Source organism: Homo sapiens, chromosome 9, assembly GCF_000001405.40.
Source record: "Homo sapiens chromosome 9, GRCh38.p14 Primary Assembly".
Lineage (NCBI taxonomy): Eukaryota > Metazoa > Chordata > Mammalia > Primates > Hominidae > Homo > Homo sapiens.
Genome location: NC_000009.12, coordinates 79684709 through 79710370, shown reverse-complemented (window position 1 = coordinate 79710370; position 25662 = coordinate 79684709). Strand labels below are relative to the sequence as shown.

Genomic DNA, 25662 nt, shown 5'->3' with positions numbered 1-25662 from the left:
TAAAGAAACAGCCAGTGCTACTTTATAGTAAAATCTTTGTTTCTGGGAAGATGAAGCCAATTAGCAGAGACAACTGTGATTAGGTAGTAATAAAAAGGTGCATTAGATTAAAATAAAGTATTTGGAATGAGATCCGTTCAGAGAAGGCTAGAACAACTGGTGTGTTGTGTTTTGTCTTTCCTAACTCAAGGAATCTGTGAATACAGAGGCTCCAGATGCCCAGAGCACGGTATAAGAAGCCAACTAAGCAAGTCACCTTTTCTGAAAACAGAACTAAGCATAAGAGTGCCCTTATTTCCTTTCAGCCTTTGAGGTTTGGCATGTCTTTTCCCAACATATTCAAATTTTGAACATTCAGGTTTGCACATAATAATCAGACTTTTGGAACAAAGAATTGCCTTGAAATCTGCAACAGATGTAGAGAAGACCTGACTACTGGAGATGCCTCTGCAATTTGCATTTACATATTAAAGCTCAAAATTTTACAATGCAAAACCCCACTTCATTACTTCTCTTCTTGTGCTAAGAGAAAATGAAAAATACCTTGCAAGGTAAAAAAATACAAGTCATGGGAACTCCCCCAACACTGTCTAGTGGTATTCTAAGTCTACGGGGCCAGCAAGGGACCTGAGTTTGACACACAATGAGCACAGAGGCAAAAAGGTACTCACGGTTTTCCTCCTGGAATGCCTGTCAGGTTTGGAGGTATTGCTGGCACACGCATGTGATGGTGTGGATCAAATCCCACCTAGAATTTTTCCCAAGCAAACAACAGAAATAAGCACAGTTACATTTGACTTGTTTTATCCTTCTCAAAATCTATTCTAAAACCTGGGAGAATAGATCCTTTAAAAATAAGGTTTTAGAGATATATACAGAAGTATTTATTGGTGAAATGATAACCAATGTTTAGGATTTAATGGTAACATACTTGGGGGTGGAACACAGATTAAAAAATTATACTAATGATTATTGAAGCTCATGGTAGAACCAAAGAGTCATTACATTCATTATACTATGTGATCTAATTCTGTAGGTTTGAAGTTTCCAAAATTAGTATCATTTTGGAAAATTTAAAATTAGTATTCTTTTAAAAAGACATATAAAATAAAAAAGAAACTTCTTCACCTTACAAAAGAAAATGGACCTCAAGATTATAATCACATGTAGCTTAACTTATAAATACCCACAGATCTCTAAATACCTTAGATTATATAAATTACATTAAAAAATAGATAGGCCAGGCATGGTGACTCATGCTTGTAATCCTAGCAATTTGGGAGGCTGTGGCAGGCAGATCATATGAGGCCAGGAGTTCGAGACCAGACTGGGCAACATGGTGAAACCCTGCCTCTACAGAAAATTTTAAAAATTAGCTGGGCATGGTGGCGCATGCTGTTTTTTCGAGCTACTTGAGAGGCTGAGGTGGGAGGATCGCTTAAGCCCAGGAGGCAGAGGCTGCAGTGAGCCAAGATCATGCCACTGCACTCCAGGCTGGGTGACAGAGCGAGACCCTGTCGCAATCAATCAAGCATGACAATCCTCCGTGTGCTAAAATATTATTTGTGAAGCTCACAAACGCACCACTGGTGATCTCCCATAGGCAGCAGCAGCAGCGGCGGCGGCAGCAGCTGCGCTCATCTGAGGGGAGATGTTGTGGAGCCCAGCGTAGGCCGCTCCGGGGCTGGTCAGCTCTCCGTTCATTCCAGCATGGGGCACAATCCCAAATGGAGTTGGATATGGACAAGGTACTGCCATTGGGGTCCTTAGGCTTGAGGCTGCAAACCAAAATGGATGGAAGAAAAATGAAGAACACAGGAAACAACAGTGAAGACATTTGTAAACATGTCACAAAATAGAATCTATGGTTCAAATGAGCTTATTTTAATATTCTCAAAAGTCATTCAAGCCTTCAGAATTCACTCATTCACTTTGTTCTATTGAACACTTACCATGTGCCAGACAAGGTTGGTCCCAGGTGCTCGGTTCAGGTTAAGTAACTTTGTCTAACAGCCATTCAATGCTGGTCATTAGCACTTTTAATGTACTGTACTCCTTAAATTGCTTTAAATTCTTAAAAACGAGCATAAAAATATAGAAAAAACTTTTTTCTTACTAACCCAAAGGGTCAACTCCTGGTGGTTTTCCAGGTACAGGCCTCAATCCGGGAGTAGAGTTACTGCCTGGGGTGGGCGCATCAGTTCGTGGAGTAGGGGTATTGGACTTTGAGACGGGAGTAGTAGATTTTTCATTCTAACAAGATGAAATGACATATACCAGCAATTAGAACATGGTTTTAACAATGACGTTAAACAGTAAAAAGGTAAAGAAAAGGAAAGGAGGAAAAGAAATGGAAGAGGTTCTTCAGCTTGGGCCTTGATTTTCTTTAATAGAAAAGTTAACAAAGAAACAAAAGAGTTCCTTGAGACAGCAGACCTAATATTTGGGAAGACATAAACTGAAGCTGAATTTAGAGGAGAGCAGCTCATTTCTAGGAAATTGGTCTGAGTCAGATGAGGCTCACAAACCAGGATGTCCTAACTGTGGCCACTTGCTGGTGACTTTGGTAAAGACTGGGGTAACTGTGGGCTCCTGGCAGATTGTTCATGTCACAAGAGGCTTCCTGGTGAACAGGTCACATTAGAAAACACATCCAAGCTTGAATTGTCATAGAGACTAAGCAGAGAGCAGGTGCCATTAAAAGAAGGCCAGAAGGCCAAGAGAAAATAAAATTTAAAAAAACAACACCAACAATCTAGCCCGTCGCACTTATCCCCCCTAATTTGCAGACCAAGTGAGGAATTTCCTTTCCTTTAGCTGTGAATTCCAGAGGTTATTAGAAAACTGAATTTGTCTTTTTATTCTTTTTTTAAATGTTATGTTACAAGGAAATAACTGGTGAGGAAAAAAGACACACCACACAAAGTTGCAATTAACTACACAGCCACAGAAGAATAGGGTGCAGGGAGATTATCCTGATGGGTGAGCAGTTCATTTTTGCATTTGTGATTTGTGATGTAAGTCAAGATAGACTTTTGTAAATGAGAGATTACTTTTTAGATAGGAAGGGAAAATTATTGCCGTCATATGTAGCTTGGTAATTCAAACAAAGCTAGCAACAAAATCACATTCAAGCCCCAAACTAAATTTACCATAAACCACAGGCGACAAAACCATCTCTGTAACCCCAATGTGCATTGTTCATCTTCGCTAAGACGTGTTTCACTCAATTTCCCCATATCCCTCTTCTATCCTTGCAAAAAGAATCATAAAATAAACACTCATCACCAACAAGTTAGTAAACTTATTCTGCTCTACATACTTTTGCCAATTAAACTTAAATACCGAACATATATACATTTGGAAATAAAAGTCCTGTTAAAAATGTGAGAAATATAAAGATAAAAACATCAAATTCAAACATCAAATTGGCAGAGGCCACACTCAGAGAGATGGTAAGGAGCTGCTTACAAGGCTAAGTTCTTTGGATTTGGAGGAGGGAGTACTGCTGGAAGATGCAATAGAGGCTGGACTAATCGGGGCATCTTTCTTGAGCAGGCGTGTCTTGTCTAGGCCATTCTCTCTGGGGGAATGTGCTGGGCTCCCTCGAGGGGAAGATGGATCCTACAAAGGAACATCGTGGACAGTAATGCAAGCACAGCACATTTATAATGCTGGGGTTGTTGGGTGTGGACATTTCTAGCCAAAAGCATTTAATGCATGCTTAGAAGCACAAATGTGCTAGAACAGATAACAATACTCACTGAAACTACTAACGAAAATATTCAGTATTGAGGGCCCCAAAATTATAGTATTTATAGTACTTATTTAAAACCCAAAGAAAAATCAAAACCCCACCCATCTGCAAATTGCACGTCAATGAGACCTGCAGGCTGACCACAGAGATCTGGTGTGCCTTCACTGCAGTAGAGAATGACACCTTATTCTTAATAGAATAAGAACAATGAAAAAAAAAAAGATCAATAACATATAAAATCAGTAGTACATAATTTTTATGTAAATAAAAAGTGGGTCCCTTTAGAAATCAAGAATATGTTTTGGGCCAGGTGCAGTGGCTCACACCTGTAATCCTAGCCCAGGAGTTTGAGCCCAGCCTAGGTAACATAATGAGACCCCATCTCCACAAAAAATTTAAATATGAGCCAAGCGTGGTGGCACGTGCCTGTAGTTCCAGCTACTCGGGAGGCTGAACAGGGAGAATCACTTTAGCGTAGGAGTTCAAGGCTGCAGTGAACTGTGGTCACAATACTGTACTCTAGCCAGGGCAAGAGAACAAGACCCTGCCTCAAAAAACAACAACAATAACAAAACGACAAACCTCAAGATATTTTGGATACTAATTGTTTGGGCAACTAGTCTTTGATATGGCTGGGCAAGTGCAAAAAATTAAAGTAGCCACAAACATACCTCATTGGAAACGTCAACCACCAAGTTGTCATCACTTTTCTCACCATCGCTGTCCTGCATTGACAAGTGAGAAGCATTATCTTCTCCCCTCACAAAACATACCACATTTACCCTAAGTAAGTCCAGACTAATTCCTCATATCTTATAAAGATGAGCTGTACCAAACAGTGTTAAATACTTGACAATGTCCTATTTTCTTTAATCCTCATGATGATGCTATGGAGGTGGGTAATATATTTTTCAGATTATGAGACTGATGCACTACCCACTGCACCAAGAGGGTGACCTGATTACATTTTTCAGTTACAAACTTGAAGCTGATGGTTGGCTTATTACTCTAGAGTAGAGGCTGCAAACTGACAGGCCCAGGCTAAATCCGGCCTACAGATAGGTGTGGTCTGGTTTGTTGGTATTTTAAAAAACTGCATATTGGGAGGTAAAAATCCAGATTTCCAGCTTTTCATGAGGCCTGCGGCCCTGTAGGACACCAGCAGGGAAGCAGAGCAGGGGCCGCCTGCCTCCACACTGCTCCATCCAGCTTGCTCCCCCATCTCACTCCTGTGACCTGCCCAGCCACTAAAGGAAAATGAGCTTCATTCCAGGCTAGGGATGATCTTGGATGTCTCTCCATGTTTTATTCCACAACATTTGGTATATCCTTCAGCACATGAATCCATCTAGGCATTTAAACACATTTTTTATGATTTTATATTTTTCTGCTTAACAATTCCAGCTAACCACAGAAAATCCAACCACTCTGAAATGAATGGGGAAGCAAATACACCTATAGAAACAATAATATGGATCATCCAGGTCTTCTGTTAGCTGCCCAATGAAGCATTCTATCCTCACATGCATCTGTACACACACAGGACTTCAGCTAGCCAATGGCTACAGAGCTATAAATACAATAAATGTTTTTTGTCTCCTAAAGGATGTTATCCTGTGTTCCTGTGTTGGCTGGTAATAGTCAAAGGGTAAAATGGCTGCAGATAAAAAGGCAAGCTGGCCTCCCCTAACACAAAGGTGAATGAACTTACATAACGAGCTGCAATTTCCTTTTCTTCAGTTTTCTGCTTTTTGCTCTCTGAGGAGTAGTCTGCGGAGTTTCTGTGCTTCTCAGCACCTCGGAAACTGGCTGATGGGGATACTGAAGAGCTCTGGAATTAGAAGGAGAGGAAGCATGGTTGAGAAATTATCATCTATTTAGCCGAGTGATTTTTAAGTCACTTGAGACTTTCTTTTCTTTTTATTCTTTAGCATATACTTGCAAAGCTGTTAAGAGGAGATAGGAGAAAGCGGAGGAGACGAAAGGAAGAAAACAGGGATATAAAGGGAAAGACAAGTAGCAAAAGACAAGGGGGAAAGATAATGGGAAAGAAAGAAAAAACGAGAAGAGGCAGAGAGATGGGACAGAGGGAGGAGAGGAAATAAAAAGGGTGGCAGGAATTAGTGTAAACTCAAAACAGAATGGGTTTGGTTTTACGGATATATTGTACTGTTGAAGTGCCTTTAGAAACTTGGGAAAGGGGCTGGGCATGGTGATTCACACCTGTAATCCCAGTACTTTGGGAAGCCAAGGCGGGCAGATCACAAGGTCAGGAGGTCGAGACCATCCTGGCCAACATGGTGAAACCCCATCTCCACTAAAAAGACAAAACAAATTAGCTGGGCATGGTGGCGTGCCTGCAGTCCCAGCTACTCAGGAGGCTGAGGCAGGAGAACTGCTTGAACCCGGGAGGCAGATGCTGCAGTGAGCCAAGATGGCGCCACTGCATTCCAGCCTGGGCGACAGAGTGAAACTCTGTCTCAAAAAAAAGAAAGAAAGTTGGGAAAGGAAGCATATATGAGAAAAAAGGGAAGGAGAAAAAGCCAGGTTTTTTTGTTTGTTTGTTTTGTTTTGTTTTTAAAGTTTGCTGGCTAATGGGAAGCCAGCATTTCAAGCTTCTATAGAAAAACTATAAAGTAGAGCTTTTAAGAGGTAATTAGTAAGTCAATGAAAAAAAAAGGGGGGAAAGTAATTTTGGGGGATTTGAGCAACCAAAGATGGCAGTCATGTGACATATAGGTCATATTTATGAAGTTTTGCTCAGCGCCATATGTTAGGGCCTGGAAGATACAGAGTGGCAGGAAAAACACCACCTGCAGAAATGCGTATTATTCCTTTCTCACTCCTATAGTTTTCATGAACCCACACCTTTCAATGTCTGGAAACCTAGGAATGCCACTGGGGCCAGGGAATGGAGAAAGATGCTCCATGCCTCTTGGGACCACACTTAGGCTCAGCCTGTATGCTTCACCTCTGCTTTCAAGGAGCTCTCAACTGGAGAAGTCTCCTATACACACAAGAGACGTGGGTGACAAGACCTGAAGCAGAGAATGACTCTATCTGCCATGAAGGTCAGGTGGTTATTGGGCACATTTAGATAATATGAGAGCTTAAAATCATGGATGAAGAAGTGAAAAAAGTGCCAATGAAAACTGGAACAATCTTAACAACTGCCTAGTGACTAAGCTTCAGACAGACCAAAGAAAAGATCTAAATGCAGGTGAGGTGGGAGAGCGGGAGCTGGACTGAGGGCTGCGCTATGCTGCTGAGTGGTGAATGGCAAAAACCTGAGTAACACAGTCCCTTGGCAGGGCACCAGGGCAGGGCTCCCAAGTGTGAATGACCCTAACCCAGGGTAACAAAGGGCTGATCTTGGAGAGTAGTAGAAAGAATATCTGAAAATCTCTATGGAAAAAAAGTTATAGGAAGAACAATCACCACTGGAACGTCTCTGTCTGGCATGCAAATCAATTCAGAAAACTGGTCAGGAAAGCTCTTCCTCATTTATAAATTTATTTCATATAAGACTAACTCTTTGAACGGGTTTTTTTTTTTGCTTTATCTTAGTCTGTTGGTAATAACTGATGTTTATAAAAACATACAACATTTACGAGGCCCTTTTAATTAACTATGAGAGAAAGTGTGTTACCCAGAACTTTTGGGTCTATGTTCCATTTTATTTCCACTGAGCCTTAATGTCACAATCTCTTTTGTGGCATTTCTGAACTTCCAAAGCACATTGTTAAGAAGATTGATGGTCTTTCTTCATACCTGTGGTGATGGCAACTCTTTATTACAAGCTCCAAAGATGTGCAGGTGGGAGTTTGGTGGGGGAGAGAGATGGGACCAGTGAGTGGGTGCCCACTGGGCGGGCTGGGGACCTCTAAATCCGTCCCTGCTGTGCCAGCCCCTCTTGAGGTTTTATATGAATACTCTAGCCCTAGACCTATCAAACGTTCAGCCTTAAACTTAGTGGCAGAAAAGACTGCAGGCATTATTCAGTAAGGCTGAAGATTGACACAAAACATTACGAGCCAAACGATTTTTTAAAGTGGACTACTTCTTGACTTTTGTGTATCTCTGCTGAGTTCCAAACCTCACTCCCAAGCCATGAGACTTGGGTCAACACTTCTGCTTTGCTTTCACACAACCCAATGCACTCAGTAGGTTTTCATGACCACTGAAACCATGCATGCAATCATCATCTGTGGGTTACTATCTACCATACTTCATGCCTCAATCCCGTTTCTAGTTTTCCCCTCTCCAGTCTATCCACCTCACTTCTGGAATTCATACTTCCCAAAGAGAGGTTCAGCCTGTTTTAACTCCTCTTTTAAAAGGACAGTTTCCTACTGTTCACAGGGGGAAAAAAATTCCAAATTTCTGAGTATGGCTGTTTTCCAAAGTCCTCACTCCACACCCCAATCCAGAGTCCTGGCCTTGTATCCTACATCAGCACTATAAGCCAGTGTTCCCCTGGGCTCTGTGTATTTTCGTTGCACCTGTAGCCTTTTTTCCTGGCTTATGGCAATGACTATTTTCTCAAGATCTATCTTTTGAAATCCCCCACTATCCTTAAGAATCAGCTCTAATGTCACCTTTCAAAGCTTCCTCAGATGCTGTCAGGCAGAATTAATCATTCATTCCTCTTTGTTCCCTTAACATTTTGTTCCTCCAATGAGTAAAGCACTCACAACAAATTTATTGCTGTGTTTACAAGGCCACTTCCCACTTTAGGCTGTGGGTTCCCTGAGGGTGGGGCACCTAGCATCATGAGCAGAAGGGAACTGCCCAGAAATATTTCTCAACACAAATGGCTGAACATCCCCTCTGCACGCCTCAATCTCACTCCAAATCTCTTATGATACATTCCTTTTCTGAGCATCACTAGGATGAACAATTCCATGGGAGACCATTCACTAGAGTAAGATTTGTGTTGTGGTGCCCTTGGAATCGGTAATATGGCAATTCAGCCCCTTCCTCACCTTTGCTCCTTTACTTACCTTTAGATGCACTAAATCTGGCTAATTTCATATTTTACAAAAAGAAGAAAAATGGAGTATATATATCTTTTATTAACAATTCTCTGATTCTGCTATATTCTATTGAAAGTTATTTCCACATTGTTTAAGAGGAAAAATTTCTAAACAAAACAATTTCTTAAAAATACTAAAAGGTAATGCCTATTTAGATTTAGATTTTATGTTCATTTATTGGCTCATATGTACAACCAAATACTTTATATTTTTCTTAAGCTAGCTGTTTCCGGTTTTGCAGGCAGCGTTGTATTTTTGAAGTTGACTGTAGAACAGAGTTACATGTTGGAGTTTCTTGGTAGAATGATAAAGTAGTTAATTATCACTAGCATTTAAAGGTTAAGCTGCACAGTGGGCACTGGGGCAATCAGCAATGTTCTAATAACATAATTACTCTGGAATCAAATTGGACTTGGCACAGACTCTCATCATGAATCTTGTAAGTCCACCATTCTGCCACAGGAATGCCACTTGGATCTTTGCTAGGCATGTGAATAAGAGGAATTAAATAAATACCGATAAAGTCATGCTTTTACTAGAAAAGCTTTTTATTTTATTATTTTTTATTTCTCTATTATTATTTTAAAAGCTCAATTTAGATATTTCTCAAGTTTACTACATAAGAAACTTACTGAAGCTGCATTGTGACCCTATAAATCTACAAATTTAGAAGGATTAAACACAAGTCTTTCTCACTACAGTTTGAGTGTGCGTGTGTGTGTGTATGTGTGTGTGTATCTCAGCAAATCTGTTATGATTGGAGAGTCACGGTCACAAGCAATGGCTGATCCAGAGAAAGCAAAATACCCTGAATGTGAATGTTTAGTAAAGCTCTGGATTTTAAAAGTAAACACTTATGCTGGGATATTTAAAAAGAACAGGGTAGATCTGTTTAAGAAAAAGAGCAGGAAAACAAGGAGAAACCAAGAAAAAAATACTAAAGGATTAAAAGACTTATTACATGGAAACCCCAATTGCTTTGGTAGCAAAAGGTAAGCTTTAAAAAGCTATAATCAGGTTCTAATTTCACTATGAGAAGATTCTAGTTCCTAGATTAAAGACCATCCCAGACTTTACTAGGGCTGTTGACCAAGTCAGATGGAAAACTGACACCTCCAGCAACTTGAAAGGGAAGGCCCCACCCCTCCACCTTTACTCCTCTGCCACCTCAAGATCAAAGATGACAATGTATGAGAAAGACTTCTATAAAGTAACTTCCCCCTCCAAAAGAAGATGCTGTTGTTATAATTAGCTAATTTTAATAACAGGGAGCACAGATTTTAATAGCAGGCAAGAGCATCTCTCTGGAGTCAGACTGCCTGGTGTGAGTCTAGAGTCTTCACTTAATAGCCGTAAGGGATGTTGCTTAGTCTCAGCCTCTCTTTAGTCTGGGGTAACAACACACCATTCTCAGCCCCACGGGCTGCTTTGAAGACCAAGAAAAATAATCCACATAAAGTACAACGCGCAGTCCCAGGCACATAGCCTAGCCCCTCAACAGTGCAACTTAGTCCTATCACTGTATACTGGACTCCAGTTGATTCTACTTACTTTAGAGATTGGGATGGTGACCTAGTGTGGATCTTCTATTTTAAACCTTATGTTAGGTCTTTTCTAGACATTTGTGTAGGACTTCCCCCAGCATAGATATTCTGATGCCCCATAATTATAGGGTTTTAATATGCTACTATTCACCAAAACTTTTCTCCTTTCAACAATCACGATAAGGTTTTGGTTCAATACTGCACAGAGGCAAGACTGCAAATACCATCTCCACAATGGACTTTCTAATTTGATTTCAAATGCACACCATGCCAATTTTGCTTTCCATTCACACAGGTGCAGTGCTTAGACTTCCCTGCCCATAGACGATAACAACCAGAAAGAACATGCTAAAGGTCGCATGGAAACCATGATCAAGCAGCCTAAAACTCATTCGTTATGGCTTGTTTGCTCATCAGCTATGGCCTTCAAAAATCGTATCCACACGGTACAAAAGGGTAAATCAGTTTTCAAACAGATAAATGGGATAATGAGGAGTCAGAAGGTACCACTAAAATATGTCAAGGGTAATTGCAAGTCCTGGTTTGCCCTTTCTACACCTGTTGTCCAGACTTCCCTTCACTCTCAAAAATGGCCAAGTTTAGACGATAAATTATAGTTACTCTTAACTATAGTTCAGTCACTATAGGAATTCTCAAACATTAATCAGAGTCAGGGACGATTCAAGTTGAGTTTGTTTTTGGTGATGGGGACAGGGGTGGAGGCACAGAAGACAGAAAGCTGAAGAAGGCCCCTGTAGATCCTTTACTGATGCCATAACCAAAGTCCTCAATCATATTTTCCTCTGCAACCCCTTAGAAAAGCAAAAGACCCATGTCAAAAATAAAAATGAACACTGGTGACTCTATAGTCATGAATCATCCAAAGAGTTGATCATGTTCACCAGACCACAAAGCACTGTATTTCTGTTTTTTTGGAACTACTTTGAGTAAGTTTGGAAAGTAATATCCTGAATAAACCTACGTACATCAAACTACTGTTGTACCATAACCCAGCTAGTTCTGCTTGGATTTTATTGTACAGAATTACACAAAATGTTTATTTTCCCATTCATTGAGCTCTTTATAACTGATAAAACATTTTAACATATTATTATCTCATTTACAGGGAAACCACCAGGATATACATATATATATATATATGTATATATATATAAGAAATAATCCTCAATTGGAAAAAAGTAAATATAAAACCTTTAAAATGAAAATTACTTGGTCAAAATGCACAAGTCTCACATACTAACACATAACACATGTAAATTTATGTAAATGAACTTAAAATTTATAGCATGCTGGTGGTAAAAAACTTGAATATAGTAGAGCTCTGACTGAGCCAGTCACTGGTGTCAGTTTACTGCTCATCACAGTAAGAGGTTTTTCTTTTTTATAACCTGCTTGATTAAGGAAGTCATTAAAAGCACAATCTGTATAAAACTCTCACAGAACTTGCTTTTTTCAAATTAACATAAATCAAAACTCACCTTCAAAAATGACTGGGACTTTCTAAAGCCCTGCCCTTGTTAAAAGAAGATTTAATATAATCTCCATATAAAGTAATGAATCTATTCTTAACAAATGTTTCACCTTCTGTAACATTTCATGAACAATATATTCTTTAAAATGTTCTATTGTTTTTGTCTCTGCTTCTCTACTGGTAAGAGAAACCTGGATCAAGGTAAATTTCTTTTGCAGGTAATCAAAATATTATCAAACCAGAGGAACCAACAGTCAGAAGAATAACAGAAGAGAGGCAGTGTCTACAATGGTTATGCTACAGGTATAAAAGTCAGACAGCCTTGGGTTCAAGACCAGGCTGTAACACTTGCTATGTGACCTTGGGAAAATTCATGAACCTCTTTAAGCTTCCATTTCTCCAGTAGGTAAGACGAGGGTGTTAGCAGCACTTCCTTGTAAGTTGCCATAAGGATAAAGAAGAATTCAACCTAGCATCTAGTACTAGTAAGCCCCCATAGACAGCTATTCCCTTTTGGCAAATGTGGAAACAACCGCATATTTTTTGTCTGCTTATGGACTCATTCAACAAGTATTTAACCCACTAAGTACAGAAACACATGAAATGTCTTGAATAAAATATTAATACACACCTTGAAGAATGAAATATACACCTTGTTTTTCAGTAGGGCTCCTTGAGTCAAAATACTTAGGATACAAAAGTATTACATATTTTTTTCTTCATGTGTAGTAGAAAATACAGCACTTCAATATTAATTCATTCATGTTCTGTTTTCATGGCCTCAGCATTATGTATTGCTTGGTCAGTATAAAACGCTCTAATAATTTATAAGATATCAATAAAATTGATTTTAAATTAGAACATTATCTTAATGTCCTCTCGGGGGTTTCTTCACTGTTGCTTCCTCTTCCTGGAATAAAGCTATTGGCTCCACCCCAGAAATTTCATTGAACACAGTTACTTTAGCTGACAAACTGAGCTGCTGGGACATGATGCTTTGATGCCAAAGACACAGGGTTGATTCTTATGTAGGGAGCTTAGTTGCCCTCTCTTGAAAGCTAGTCTGCATGTGGTGCAAGTGTTGGGCCACACAAGGAAGAAAGTAGATGAATGAGTTGGAACAAGTACAACCCCTCACCACTGATGGAGAGAAGAATCCAAAGTACAAGCTGAATTAATCAAGTAATCCCTCTCCTGATCATTAGAGATGGCATGGTATTAACAGTCTAACAGAAATTGTAATAAAAATTGCCAACTGCATACAACTTTGTATTGTGTTCATCGTTTAAACTACCTATCACCCCAAAGTCATTTCGCACTTTTCAATCCAATGGACCTCCTCAAAGTTTGCAAAGTCTAACATTTCTGTGTCCATTTGTTCTCCAGCAAGAATTCTCGCTCTCCTTAATACAAATTCTATAAATCTTGTATGCTAACTCTGTAAATTACAGTTACATGCACTGGCCACTTTCTTCTGGAATTATTTTTTTCAGTATATGACCTGTAAAACATATCATAAACCACTCATTCACCTACTGCTTTATAACCAATGTTACTAAGTCTCACTGGCAAATCTCATGTGGTACATGAGTTTGACTGCCCTAAAAACAAAAGTGGAGAGGGTTGGCAAAAATCTCTTTCCTGGATGTTCACGGAAGGTGCACTGGCTTTATACCTATCCCTGCACTGTGCTCTGTTTTTGAATGAAAATATCAACACAAGCATAACAGCTGCTTTGACAAAGCTGAAGTAGGGTAACAGCTCAGAGAAATAAGTTACTAAGCTTTAGGACTTGGCAAGCTGTATCTTAATGGACCAGAATCTTCATTTTAGTAACTATTAACATTTATTAGAAAAGAAAGTCTTTTCATGTTGCTATTTTTTTTTTCCAGTAAACTGCTTTAATCTATTTGAAAGGCTAAACTTTTTTTTCCAAAGAGTGTTAACTCCACAGATTCTCATATATATTCTTATGTATTCTGTATGCAAATATACTCTATACAATGTCTGAGGGTAATACAACAGGAACAAAGAAAGAAATGACAATATATCAATTTAAAGGAAGGCTGCCTAATAAGTTTTAAGGTCGCTAATCAGGAACTCTGGTCTTCTTCATATCACCACAAAAGGGCTAAACAGTTTTCAATTATCGCTTAACTGATTGGTCTTAAGGGCCTTCATTAAAATATTAAAGTTATTCTTTAGAATGGCGCTGACAGACAGAAATATAATGTGAACCACCTATGTATTTTACACTTTTCGGATAGTCAGATTTTTTTAAATGTATAACAGTAAAATTAACTGTGGTCATCTATTTAATCCAATACTTCAAAAAATACCATGTCAATACACATATTAATATGAAAATTATGTGACATTTTACATTTTTTTTAGTACTAACTGTTCAAAATCTGATGTGCATTTTATACTGACAACAGTACACCTCAATTTGGACTGGCCACATTGCTGCTGCTGAAAAGCCACATGTGGCTTGTGGTTACCATGTCAGACAACACAGGTCTAAAAGTTCTCAGAGTCACAACAGAAATCAACACCCAATAAGACAAACATCTCACACTTGATATAAGTAGCAGGTGTCATCTAGCTCCTGCCCACCTTCTCCAATCTGATCTGAAAATTTCCTTCTCAGAGCATCAGACAACCCAAACGTTTTCATCCTTCAGAGCCTCTGTGCAGACTTCTGCCAAGAACTCTCTTTCCCAGCCTGAGTGGCTAGCATCTTTTCATCTTTTATGTTTCAGCTTAAATGTCACATCTTCAGAAAGGTCTTATCTGTAATGCTATCCAAGGAGCTCCCTCCAGCCGATCTCTAACACACTCCCTTGTGTGCTTCCTTCCCAGCACTGTGGCTGTGGCTACTCTTTTGATTATTTATCTCATCTACTTGACTAGAAGCTCCATGAAGGCAAGGACCACGCCCGTTTGGATCACCACGAAAATCCAGTACTTCGGTGTTTTAATTGACAGCTGCTGAACAAATGAATGGGCACAAAACTTGGTTCTGCTCATGTATGCTTCATGTTACCATATTATGTTCATTATATTAAGATAGGAGATTATGCATTCCTAAAGGTCATGCACTATTGTGTCTTATTTCTTTGCATCCTCAGTGCTTAATATAATGCCTGTAATACAAGAACAGTGGTGTGTGTGTGTGTGTGTGTGTGTGAGATATGCATTTGTAGGCACACCAAAGGAGGGAGGCAGCCTTCAAAAATAGTAATTTTGAAAGTAATAGGGTGACAAGATAATTTTCAGAACTATGTTGAAAAGACAGTTAAAGCTGGTGCCTTTTCACTGCTGCTCTCCTCACCAATCAAGGATGCAGGCCCCTCCCCCAAGGTCAGTGCCCAGTCCTGGCCACTGGGTGGGCATGCAATGAATATTCATTGTTGGATAAATGTATGAAGGCCACCTTTTTAAAAATTGTAATAGAAATTAATCTTTCCTATAAGAGGGAAAGTTTTCAACAGGTTATCCCTTTCCTTGTCTCTCATCACACACTCCTCAGCTGTCTGTGACCACAGGGAAACAAATCTTACTTAAGTCTGACCACTGAAAAGACAGGATTTAAAGGAATCCTGCCTGACAGACCCAGGGAAGAATGCACGCATCAGCAGTTTTTCTGTGCTGCTCATTTAGAGAATAGTGACCCTGGGGAGCTCCTTGAAATGTTTATCCCCCAAGGAGGTATGTGGTAAAAGGAAAAACATCCTTAGTCCTCCCCCCTGCTTTTTTTTTTTTCTGGTTAGTAAGTCACCACACACAGATGATGAAAGAAAAAGCCAAATATAAGGCAGACAGATATAATACTTGTTTTTTAAGGAAGATGTTTACATTGGTTGATATTTAAGTCATAGATGACTACCTGGTGCTTTACGTAAATTTTTATTATGTAAAGCAACATAAAGCATTATTAGTATCAGTTGTGACTGATAGTAACTTCAGTATGCTGAGGAATGAAAATAAATGAGACATAGATACTTAAGAGATACAATTTCAGTTCATTCTACAGAAACGATTTCGAGCTTTCACATGACAACAAGATCTAAGATGCAGGAGACTTTGAGGAAACAAAAAACACTGGAAGAACAGGTTGATTCACCAAGCATGTGCCAAAATTACTCTGGTCTAACCAGACAAGAGCACTCCACTAACCAGTGCTAAAATGTTGAAAGGTAAGTCCAGTTATGATCTAATCTCTCACCCTCCCCCAGCAAAAGATCACAGGTCAGAGAACTAAATTATAAAGGACTGATGAAAAATATCTTAGCTCCATTCTACTTGCCATTTCAGACAATTGTGAGTCCTGGTCTATCGCTCCTGTTTCTCTGACCTTTCCCTCTCCCTCTTTCTCCTTCCATTCGCTTCTCTCTTTTCCGTTCTCCACACTCCCCCCTCCGCCCTTGCCCTGCCAGCAATACCTCTGTCAATACTCTGTCTTGCTGGTGGCACTGTGGGCTAAAGAGGTTGTTGACCCTTATTCTAACATGTCCTTTTAGGTTAATTACTTTTGTATACTTGGTGTACCCAGTGACATTTAATCACTACAGCGCTACTCAGTAAACAGAAATGAATGGAGCCAACTGCAATTTGGCATCAAGCTAAGTGGTGCAGTAATAGCAGCATGCTGAAAATGGACTGCAAGAAAATACTCTCACTCACCACACAGAGAAATGAGGTGAATGCCATTTGATCAATCACTATTTTATTAAAAAGAATGCTAGCTCAGTGATGCGCTTTTGCTATTTAATACTAAATATGGTTCGAAGGACATGATGCACTTTTTAATGCAAGGACAATTCATAAGTGTTTGCTGAACAAATGAAGGAAGATTAAAATAACTCAAAGCAGAGGTACAACTTTTGTGGTTGAGTTTGTCTCTCTCTTTCCATGCATGCACACGTGTGGCATGTGTGCATGCATGTCCCACCGCAGGACAGCTCTCTGCTAACACAGCCAACAGTCTGCTATCTGGTAAGTCTTATGGTTTATAAACTTCCAGGGTATAGTAATTGAAACGCAGAAGATCCCACAACCTAATGCGTACAAGCAAGTATCCAGGAGCATGGGATTAAACAAATGGCATGTCACAGACATTTGAGCCACTGACAACATTTCTAAAACAGATACCCACTGACCTTCCTCCACTGAGAATAGAGAGTAGACTGGAGAGGTTATTAGCAGGCTTGACAGGGCCAGCTAGACCACAGAGGTTGGGTGGGGGAGATTCTGCCTAAGGGTTTTCAATGCTAGCAGGCAGATGGAAAAATGAGTCTTTATTCCTCTATCTGAAGAATAACAACGACTTCACAAGCAGAGATTCACGTTGTAATACCAGAAGAATCCCGTGACATAAGTTGAATAGCTATTCTGTGTTGGTAATGTTTTAGACACTGGAAACACAACAGTGAAAAAGGCACCAGCTTTATAGCCAGCACTGAGATTAGAGAGTAGAGTCTAAAGGGAAGGGAAGGGAATACACATGCACTCATGAGGTTTCAATCCTCAGCTCCAACATTTATCAACTGTGTGACTCCTAGCAAGTTAACCCCTTGGGGCTTTGTCATACCTATAAAACGGAGATAAGGATATTTCGCCTACAGGATTGTCACTGCTATAGTCTGAATGTCTGTGTCCCATCAAAAGTCATATGGTGAAACCTAACCCCTGAGGTGATGGTATTTGGAGGCTGTGCCTTTAAGAAGTGATTGGGTCAGGAGGGTAGAGCCTCAGAAATAAGATTAGCACCCTTATAAAATAGGCCTAGAGAAGCTCCTCTGCCCCTTTCACCATGTAAGGACAGCAAGAAGGCATCATCTATGAATCAGGCACTCATCAAGCATCTAATAGAGGCACCTTGTTTTTAGACTTCCCAGCCCCCAGAACTGTGAGAAATAAATTTCTACTTAAGCTACCCAGTTTATGGTAGTTTATCATAGCACCCCGAACAAACTAAGATAGTCATGACAATTAAACGAGATAACTACATGAAGTGGAGGCATACCGCCCTTCCTTTCATGATTGTTTCTGGGATCTGTCCTAAAAGGCAATGGCCAAGTCTCTGCCAGCAAACCAATCTGGGTAGCAGGAGGCCTGGAGAGCTGCTGTGAATGTCTCCTCTAAGCCTTTGAAAGAGGGTAATGGACACTTTTTCAAGCCTCAGGACCCTGGGGAAAAGCCACTCCACTTCTCCACAGTCAAAATTTCAGACAGCACATTCCAAAGTCTGGGTATCTTCCTGCCCTCCTGGATTGGTGTTCTCTTCAGAAGTCGCGCTCTTCCTCCAACTTGCAGAATTCATGTCAAATGTGCCTTCTAGGGCAACCTTGAGTTACAATGCTAAGTGAAGACTAGGTTTGCATCCTCAACTTCACTGGAATTTGACAAATAATTCTAAAGTGCTCTAAAGTGAGTGGGGCCTCAAAACTAACATGGGGGAGGGGGGCATGCAGACACATAATCCCTTATCAATAACAAAGCAGGAGGGTTATTATATTGAGTCCCCACTATTTGCCAGGCATTCTGCTGGGCCCTAAGGCACTAGAAATACAATTAAGAGGGCGAATGGGGACCTTGTTCTCACAGAGCACTGGTTCTAGTTAAGGGACATTAAAAATCAAGTAAAACAAGCTGCTAATAACATTAATAAAAAATAAAATAAATGCGAATGGCAATGTGTTACAAAGAACATAAGATGCTGAGACTGAGAATAACTAGCAGCCAGGTGGTCAGGAAACGCTTCTGCAAAAAGATGACATTCTGGCTGACACCTGAAGCAAAAGCTGGAGCCAAACCTCCTGACAGCCAGAAGACTGTTCTAGAAAGAGGGAATAACACATGCATAGCTCTGAAGAAGCGGAAAGCTGGCAATGGCACTGGAGCACACAGGAGGACTGGGTGCTGACGTGGAGGGAGCAGGTGGGAGAGCACAGAGGGGTGATGCTGGGAGAAAGGGGGTCCACAGTGTGCAGGCCCAGCACACGGTGAGGTGTGTGTTTTATTCTAAGGGCCACTGAAGGGGACTGTTGAGATGACACACATATCCTAAAAATCATTCAGAGAGGAGGCTCGAATCACAGTAAGAATTTTTAAAGCCCATAAGAACAGAAAAGATTACACTGCCTACCTCCATCCTTTGCAATTAAAAACAACACTAAGTGTACAATATAAACCTTCTGTGTATGCTAACATTAAATAGTAGAATTCTGGTTTCAAAATTCTGAATCAGATCATCAAAGCTGAGTTTTTACCACTTTTGGTGCCCCTACTTTACTCATGCTGTTGGTGTGGGCTAAAGTGGATCTGGCAGGTAACAGAGCCTTGGAGGAGAAATGGGGGGCCAGTAAGGAGCTGTTGCTGTGGTCCAGAGGGAAATGCTGGTGGTTTAGACTGGAGGGCTACTGGGGAAGGGGGAAGAGGATGAATCTGAGACATTAGGATATAAATGAGTGACTCACTTCACACAAATGTGTGTTCCTATGTGAATACAAAATTAGAATGGAATCAAGTTTGTCAATATAATGATGCCATCTTCATGCATTTGCAATAAGATACAGGTTCTTAGTGTAAAAATGGCAGGAATCACCAGGCATGGTGGCTCATGCCTGTAATCTCATTGCTTCGGGAGGCTGAGGCAGGCAGACTGCTTGAGTCCAAGAGTTCGAGACCAGACTGGGCAGCATGGCGAAACCCTGTCTCTACAGAAAATACAAAAAAAAAAAAAAAAAAAAAAAAAAAAGCCAGGAGTGGTGGCACATTCCTATAGTCCCAACTACCTTGTGGGAAGGTTAAAGTGGGAAGATCTCGAGCCTGGGAGGCTGCAGTGAGCAGAGATGGTGCCACTGCACTCCAGCCTGAGTGAGAGTGAGATCCCGTCTAAAAATTTGAAAAAAGAAAAAAAAAAAGAAGCAGGAGTCTTAGGTAACCTAAAAGAATATTCCTATCCTTAGGGAATCAAGGGACTGCAAGATGCGTGTGAACAGTATCCTCCAGGTTTATCAAAGAAGGTGAGAAACAACTAGGAACTTCATAACTACTGATCTAATCAACCAGAATTAAATTTCCACAAAGTGGTACCCAGTACTTAAGACAGATGTTAAAGAATAAATTCTGATCCTTACTCAAAAAACTTAGATAAAGGTTAAGCCATATTTATGTGACCAAGAGAAAACTGAATTGTAAGAGCATAATGAGGCATTAGTAAGAAATGACACTTCACGTTTATGAAGAGGTGAAATTTACCCACTGACACTTCCTATGGGAGGGGTAGACCTGGAACTGCTTGGGAAGAATTAGCATTACTAGGACCCAAATCTGCACTGAGGCTATTTCAAGCATGTGCATGTGAGGTGGCTAGGCTTAGGCTAAGTCTGGAAAGAAAGAGAGGAAGAGTAAGGTATAGAGCAACAAGGACCCCCAAAAGGAGTCTTAAAATCTGGGATGGGGTCATGGTTGGAATGAGACAAATCAGCAAGGAGTAAATAATTCAAAGGACCGGGCAGTGGTTCTAAGGTCTGTCAGGGGATAAGAATCACCTGTGGAGCTTTCAAAAAGCCCCATCTGGAACCCACCCCAGAACAATTAAATCAGACGCTGTCCAGAGAGGGTAGGCTTAAGTAAGTGGCCTGGATACAGGCAATCTTAAAAGCTCCCAGGTGATTCTAAAGTTGACAACCTCTGACCTAAGGCATATTCAGATAATCAACAAGCCACTGTGATTGCTATCAATTACCACTCCTAATCAACTAGACCTGCTTACCTATCAGCACAAGTCACCTTCATCCTTTCTGAGAGCACAATTAGCTCAGCAACAAATCCCAGACTTTCTCTCCCTATAAGCCAGTCACGTCAGGATGAACTACATTTCAAAACCACAGTTGGGAGAGAGAAAAAACGCAATCATAACCATGTCATAAGATGAGGCAAGATGCTCTTTACGCACTTCTGAATACTGAATGCAGTGCTTCCATGCTTGACTCTACAATGCTGACAAAGTGATGTATTTTGAGTGCCATAATTAAAACAATAATCTCAATAAAGTGGGCATTATGAGATAATTGCCCATCCTCAGGTATTAAGCAAACTGTGGTAAAAGCCAAGGATACTCATCGCCAAGGTCAATTACAATAATTGCTTATTTGAATTACATTATTGCTATTGTAAACCCTGCCTGATTAAGAAAAAAAAAAAACAACAATAAAAATTGATGTAACACACACCACAGGGAAATTGACCTGAGAAGGAGTTCTTGTTCTACTACTGGTCATTTAAGAATTCTTATCAACTTTGCAAAGCCTCCACTTACATACGCCCTATGCCTTTAAACATACCCACACACACACATACACATTTCCTTGGTTTTGCAGTCTGAATTCATCAAGGAAATATGCCTATCAGAAATTAGAGAAGTGGCTTATAAGAGCAACATATGGAAACATATAGGAAAATGGAGTAGTGGGTCAAGCTAATAATAAAATTAGAGGGTAGAGAAATGCATTACTCTGTGAGTTCATTCATTTTTCATCAACACATTACAGAAGAGGTCATCACTGCCTTTTGCAGAAACTGAGTCTCTCAGTTATGCTGGCTTATAGCTTGGGGGAAGATATGTTGTCCTCCACATGCCACTGTCAGCTTGTCTAGATTAACACTCAGGCAGCTCAAGTAACCAATGGTCAACCAGAAAAGCTCTGAAGATGAGATGGAAGAAAACAGAATTTTTGACCTTCCTTCAGCTAATTGGAATGTATTTGGCAATTGAAGAGTATAAAACTTCTTTTTAAGTTGTGATTAAACATCGAGGCTTTGATGTTTTATACGGCATTCTTCCCCACAATTAACTTCATTAGTGCAGTTAATTAGTGGGGAAGAATATCGTATAAACATCAAAGCCTCAGTGTTTAGTGTCACCATCAGTTCAGCTAAACAGTAATAAAGAAATAATTTCTTAAAACACATTTATGCATGCTCAGCACTTCTATTTACAAGCTTAAAGTGTATGATAGGAACATATTAAAAAATATCCAAAGATGCTATCTATACTGCAATCCAACTGCACTGACAGCAACAAGACACCATTTAATGTAGTATAATTAAGTGCCCAAGAACGCCACATAAAGCAAAAGAATTGAGACATTTAATCAGTTATGAGGACTGTTATAAATCTACCATTACTGTGAAATGAAGGAATGGCAGATAACCAAGGGAAACAGTCACAAAAACTATGTAACCTGAAGGCTAATTCTAATTAGGCATTAGATAGTGGGTTTTCAGTCTTTCGGGGGTTGAAGGGGAGAAGGCCAAGCTATAAAATAAGAACTGCAGATGGCAGGTCCTTATAAGCACTATAGGACAGCACGAAGTATACTGTGACCTTTCCTTTGGTAGACAGTGTGCAGAGATGGTGAGACTATTAAAATGTGAAGACCAGCAAGGTGGGCCTTCTCAACGTGGAACAAGGGAAGGAAGTTCTCATCTTTAGGTGGGAGGGACCAGAGAAATCATCTAGCCTCTTGCTACTCAAAAAAGTGTGGTCCACTGTCCAACAGCATCTCCTGAGGGCTTGTTAGAAATGCAGAATCCCAGTCTCACTGCCAGACCTACTGAATCGTGTGCTTTTAACGCTCATTAAAAGTTTGAGAAGCACTTGTCTACCTCAACCTCTTCACTTTGAACAGGAGGAAACTTGAATCCTAGGGGACGAAGTAACTCATGCAAGGTCACAAAGGGCTGATAGTTGAAGACAGGCCTCTGATTTTAAGGACTGCCTCTTATAGGAGGCTCAGCAAATTACACTTGTGTATTGTGAAAAGAAACCAGCCTGTACAAAGAGCAGTAAGGCAACATCAAGAAAAGAGGGCAAGGAAGAGGCCAAGGAAGGGCAAGGAAGAGGCCAAGGAATGACAAGGGACTTGCTTCATTAGGGTTGACAATTCTGGATTCAAATATATTTGATGTAGGCTGAGAACTCTATCAAACATGTAAGAAGTAAAAACTACTTAAGTTCTATAAAAATGAAAGACGAGGAAAAAAGAATGTTACAAAATTTTATTTTGTTTTGTTTTCTGAAAAGATTAGAGAAGGAAAAGCTCTGAGGTCTCCACTTGAGAGATATTTTTGAAGGGAGAGACAAGGAAGAAAATCTGGCACCCATGGGGCCACCACATATGACCACACAGGATGTAGATGCTACAACTCCAGGAAACACCAGAACATCGTAGATTCATGTGAATTGCGCTTCTGTATAACTTGTACGTGGCCATGGCAACACTAACCCAAGCCCATGAGCAAGTGAGGAGCATGGTGAGCTCGTTGCATCACCCACGGCTGGATCCAAGGGCAATTACGATTCGGGGGAGAAGAAGAATGTAGGCTACATAAACGCAAACTGAGGCAATACTGTCATTATTGCTAATCTATAATTACTGTGTGTCTTCCCAGTGAAATGTGAGCTGCATGTGGGCAGAAATTTATTCAGGGTTTTCACCACAGTATCCCCAGAGCCTAAGTGCAGTGTCTGCACCTGACCAGATGATACCAAATGACAAAATTTTAAAAGCTTTTAACATGTACAGTTCTGGGGCTTATTAAACGTAGATGCTCACTGGATTTAGCATCATACAGCAAGTACTTCACTGATGATGAAACACAACTGACAGATAAACTTCGCTCTTGGGAGCCATTATTAGTTTCCTGGGGCTGCCACAACAAACCACCACAAACTAGGTGGCTTAAAGCAACAGACATTTATTTCTTGCGGTTCTGGAGTCTGCAAGTCTGAAAACAAGGCATTGGCAGGACCATGCTCCCTCCAAAGGCTCCAGGGAAGAATGCTTCTTTGCCTCTTCCAGCTTCTGGTGGTTGCTGGCAATCCTTGGCATTCTTCGGTTTGTGGCAGCACAACTCCAGTCTTTCCTCTTTGCTTTCTCATGGCCTTCCTTTCTGTGCCTCCTCTGTATCGTCAAACCTCTCTCTCCTTATAAGGACATGAGTCACTGGATGCAGGGCCAACTTGATTCCCGGATGACCTCATCTTAACTCGATGACATCTGCCAAGACCCTATTTCTAAATAAAGTCACAGTCACAGGTACCGGGGATCAGAATTTTATTACATCTTTTTGAGACACAATTCAACCCCGAAGAGAAACCAACATTACAGATGTTTTGATAATGTTTAGAAACTGGTTGTTGGTTCAAAGCTTTTAAAAAAGTTTTAAAAAGATTAATATGCCTAAATAATATGACTGATATATAAACTTTCTAAATTACAGTCATCCTTAGGTATCCATGGGCGTTTGGTTCCAGGACACTCCTCCCTCTCCCCTGCAGATACCAAAATCAGAGGGCACACAAGTCCCTGATATAAAATGATATAGTATCTGCATATAACCTAGACACATCCTCCTGTATATTTTAAATCATCTCTAGTTTATAATGCCTATTTATAGTATTACTTATACCTCTTTATAACTAAATCATCTCTATTATTTATAATATAATGTACATGCTGTATTTTTATTTGAACTTTTTATTGTATTTTTTTTCCAAATACTTTCAATCTGTGGTTAGTTGAAGCTGAGGATGTGGAACCCAGGAATATAGAGGGCCATCTGTACTTGGGAGTCAATTTGTGAATCACTAATGTCTCAATTATGAAGTTACTTCTGACGTGAAAATACCTTCTGGGTAAGTAATAAGCAAACTCAAGACATTTTTAATACAAGACAAAGTAGCTAAAAAACAAAAATCATGCACTCTTACATACTAATATCCTGCCAAGTAGTTAAGTGGGATAAGTGATGTTCAGACATATGACCTTCTGTTCAATCCAAATGAGTTATCTTTAGATATTTTGTGATGACTATCTTGTGATAATAAAATCCATGTTTTGTTTTGCTTTAGGAAAGGCTTGAATAATCCCCCTAGAGTAGTATTCTGGTGAACACTGTTAAATTATATAATTCACCAGGTTCAATTCTGTTACTACAATCACTTTCAAAGAAGATGGTTATAATACATTATCATTACAGCTATACAATCCAAGCTGAATTTTCCTTGGCTGAATTCCTAACATTTTAATGCTGAAATTGATCTGTTTTAAAAACATCATGTGAGGGGTTTTTAAATACCACACATGCCCAAGCTCTTTATTTTAAATGCTTTAGAAATGAGCTTGCATAAACAGAAAAAAAAATCTGTTCTAATCTAGCATTAAGCATATTTTAAAGAACAACGGGCATGTTTTCAAACAAACTATTGCAGTATACAAATTACCCAGCAGGAATGAGGGTAACAATGCTTCTTATATGGGTTTAGAACCCAGGGAAAGCTGACATTTCATCAAAGTCGTCTTGGAAACAATACTCTTTGTGTTATTTCAAACACAAGAGGTGTGTATTTGGGCGTGGGCTATTTCTCATGAAGCAGTCAGATGGTAAGGCTGCCACGGTTCTAGTGCAGCTATGAGAAATGAGAAGGGAAGCACTGAAATTACCAAGCCGTTCGCATGCACACGGGCCCAACCATGACGCATGTGCCAGGCTACAAGCCAGTCACCACTTGGGCAGACTTTCCTTTACCTCTAAAACTACTGTGTTAGACTGACTGCAATATTGGCTGCAATTTTTCACACCTCCCTGTATCCACATTTGGTAGGGCTCTGTCACTGATGCTAGACTCAGCCATATGACTTGCTTTGGCCAATGGCACAGTAGCACACATGATGCAAAGAGAGGCTCTCCTAGACTCTGGACTAGTGCCAAAAGAACAAGCCTTGGCTAGCCTGCTAGAGGGATACCATAGATACATGA

The 25662-nt window shown here is 40.1% G+C and overlaps 1 protein-coding gene across 51 annotated transcripts in view; it reads right to left on the bottom strand.

Annotated features, from left to right (window-relative positions):
- Positions 1-25662, bottom strand: part of TLE4 (TLE family member 4, transcriptional corepressor) — a 154918-nt gene that overhangs the window by 16512 nt on the left and 112744 nt on the right. For 21 of the 51 annotated variants that reach the window (NR_104239.2, NM_001282760.2, XM_011518958.2 and 18 more), the window contains 6 exons: positions 5469-5588; positions 4429-4482; positions 3472-3624; positions 2121-2253; positions 1585-1778; positions 672-748 (listed from right to left, as the gene is read on the bottom strand). Coding sequence is in view for 50 of the 51 variants with exons in the window: in NM_001282760.2 (NP_001269689.1) it covers positions 672-748; positions 1585-1778; positions 2121-2253; positions 3472-3624; positions 4429-4482; positions 5469-5588 (731 nt within the window). In the remaining variant the exon portion in view is untranslated. Of the gene's footprint in view, positions 1-671; positions 749-1584; positions 1779-2120; positions 2254-3152; positions 3254-3471; positions 3625-4428; positions 4483-5468; positions 5589-25662 lie in introns of those variants that run through there. The other 30 variants (XM_011518952.2, XM_006717264.2, XM_011518956.2 and 27 more) reach the window with 4 other exon arrangements.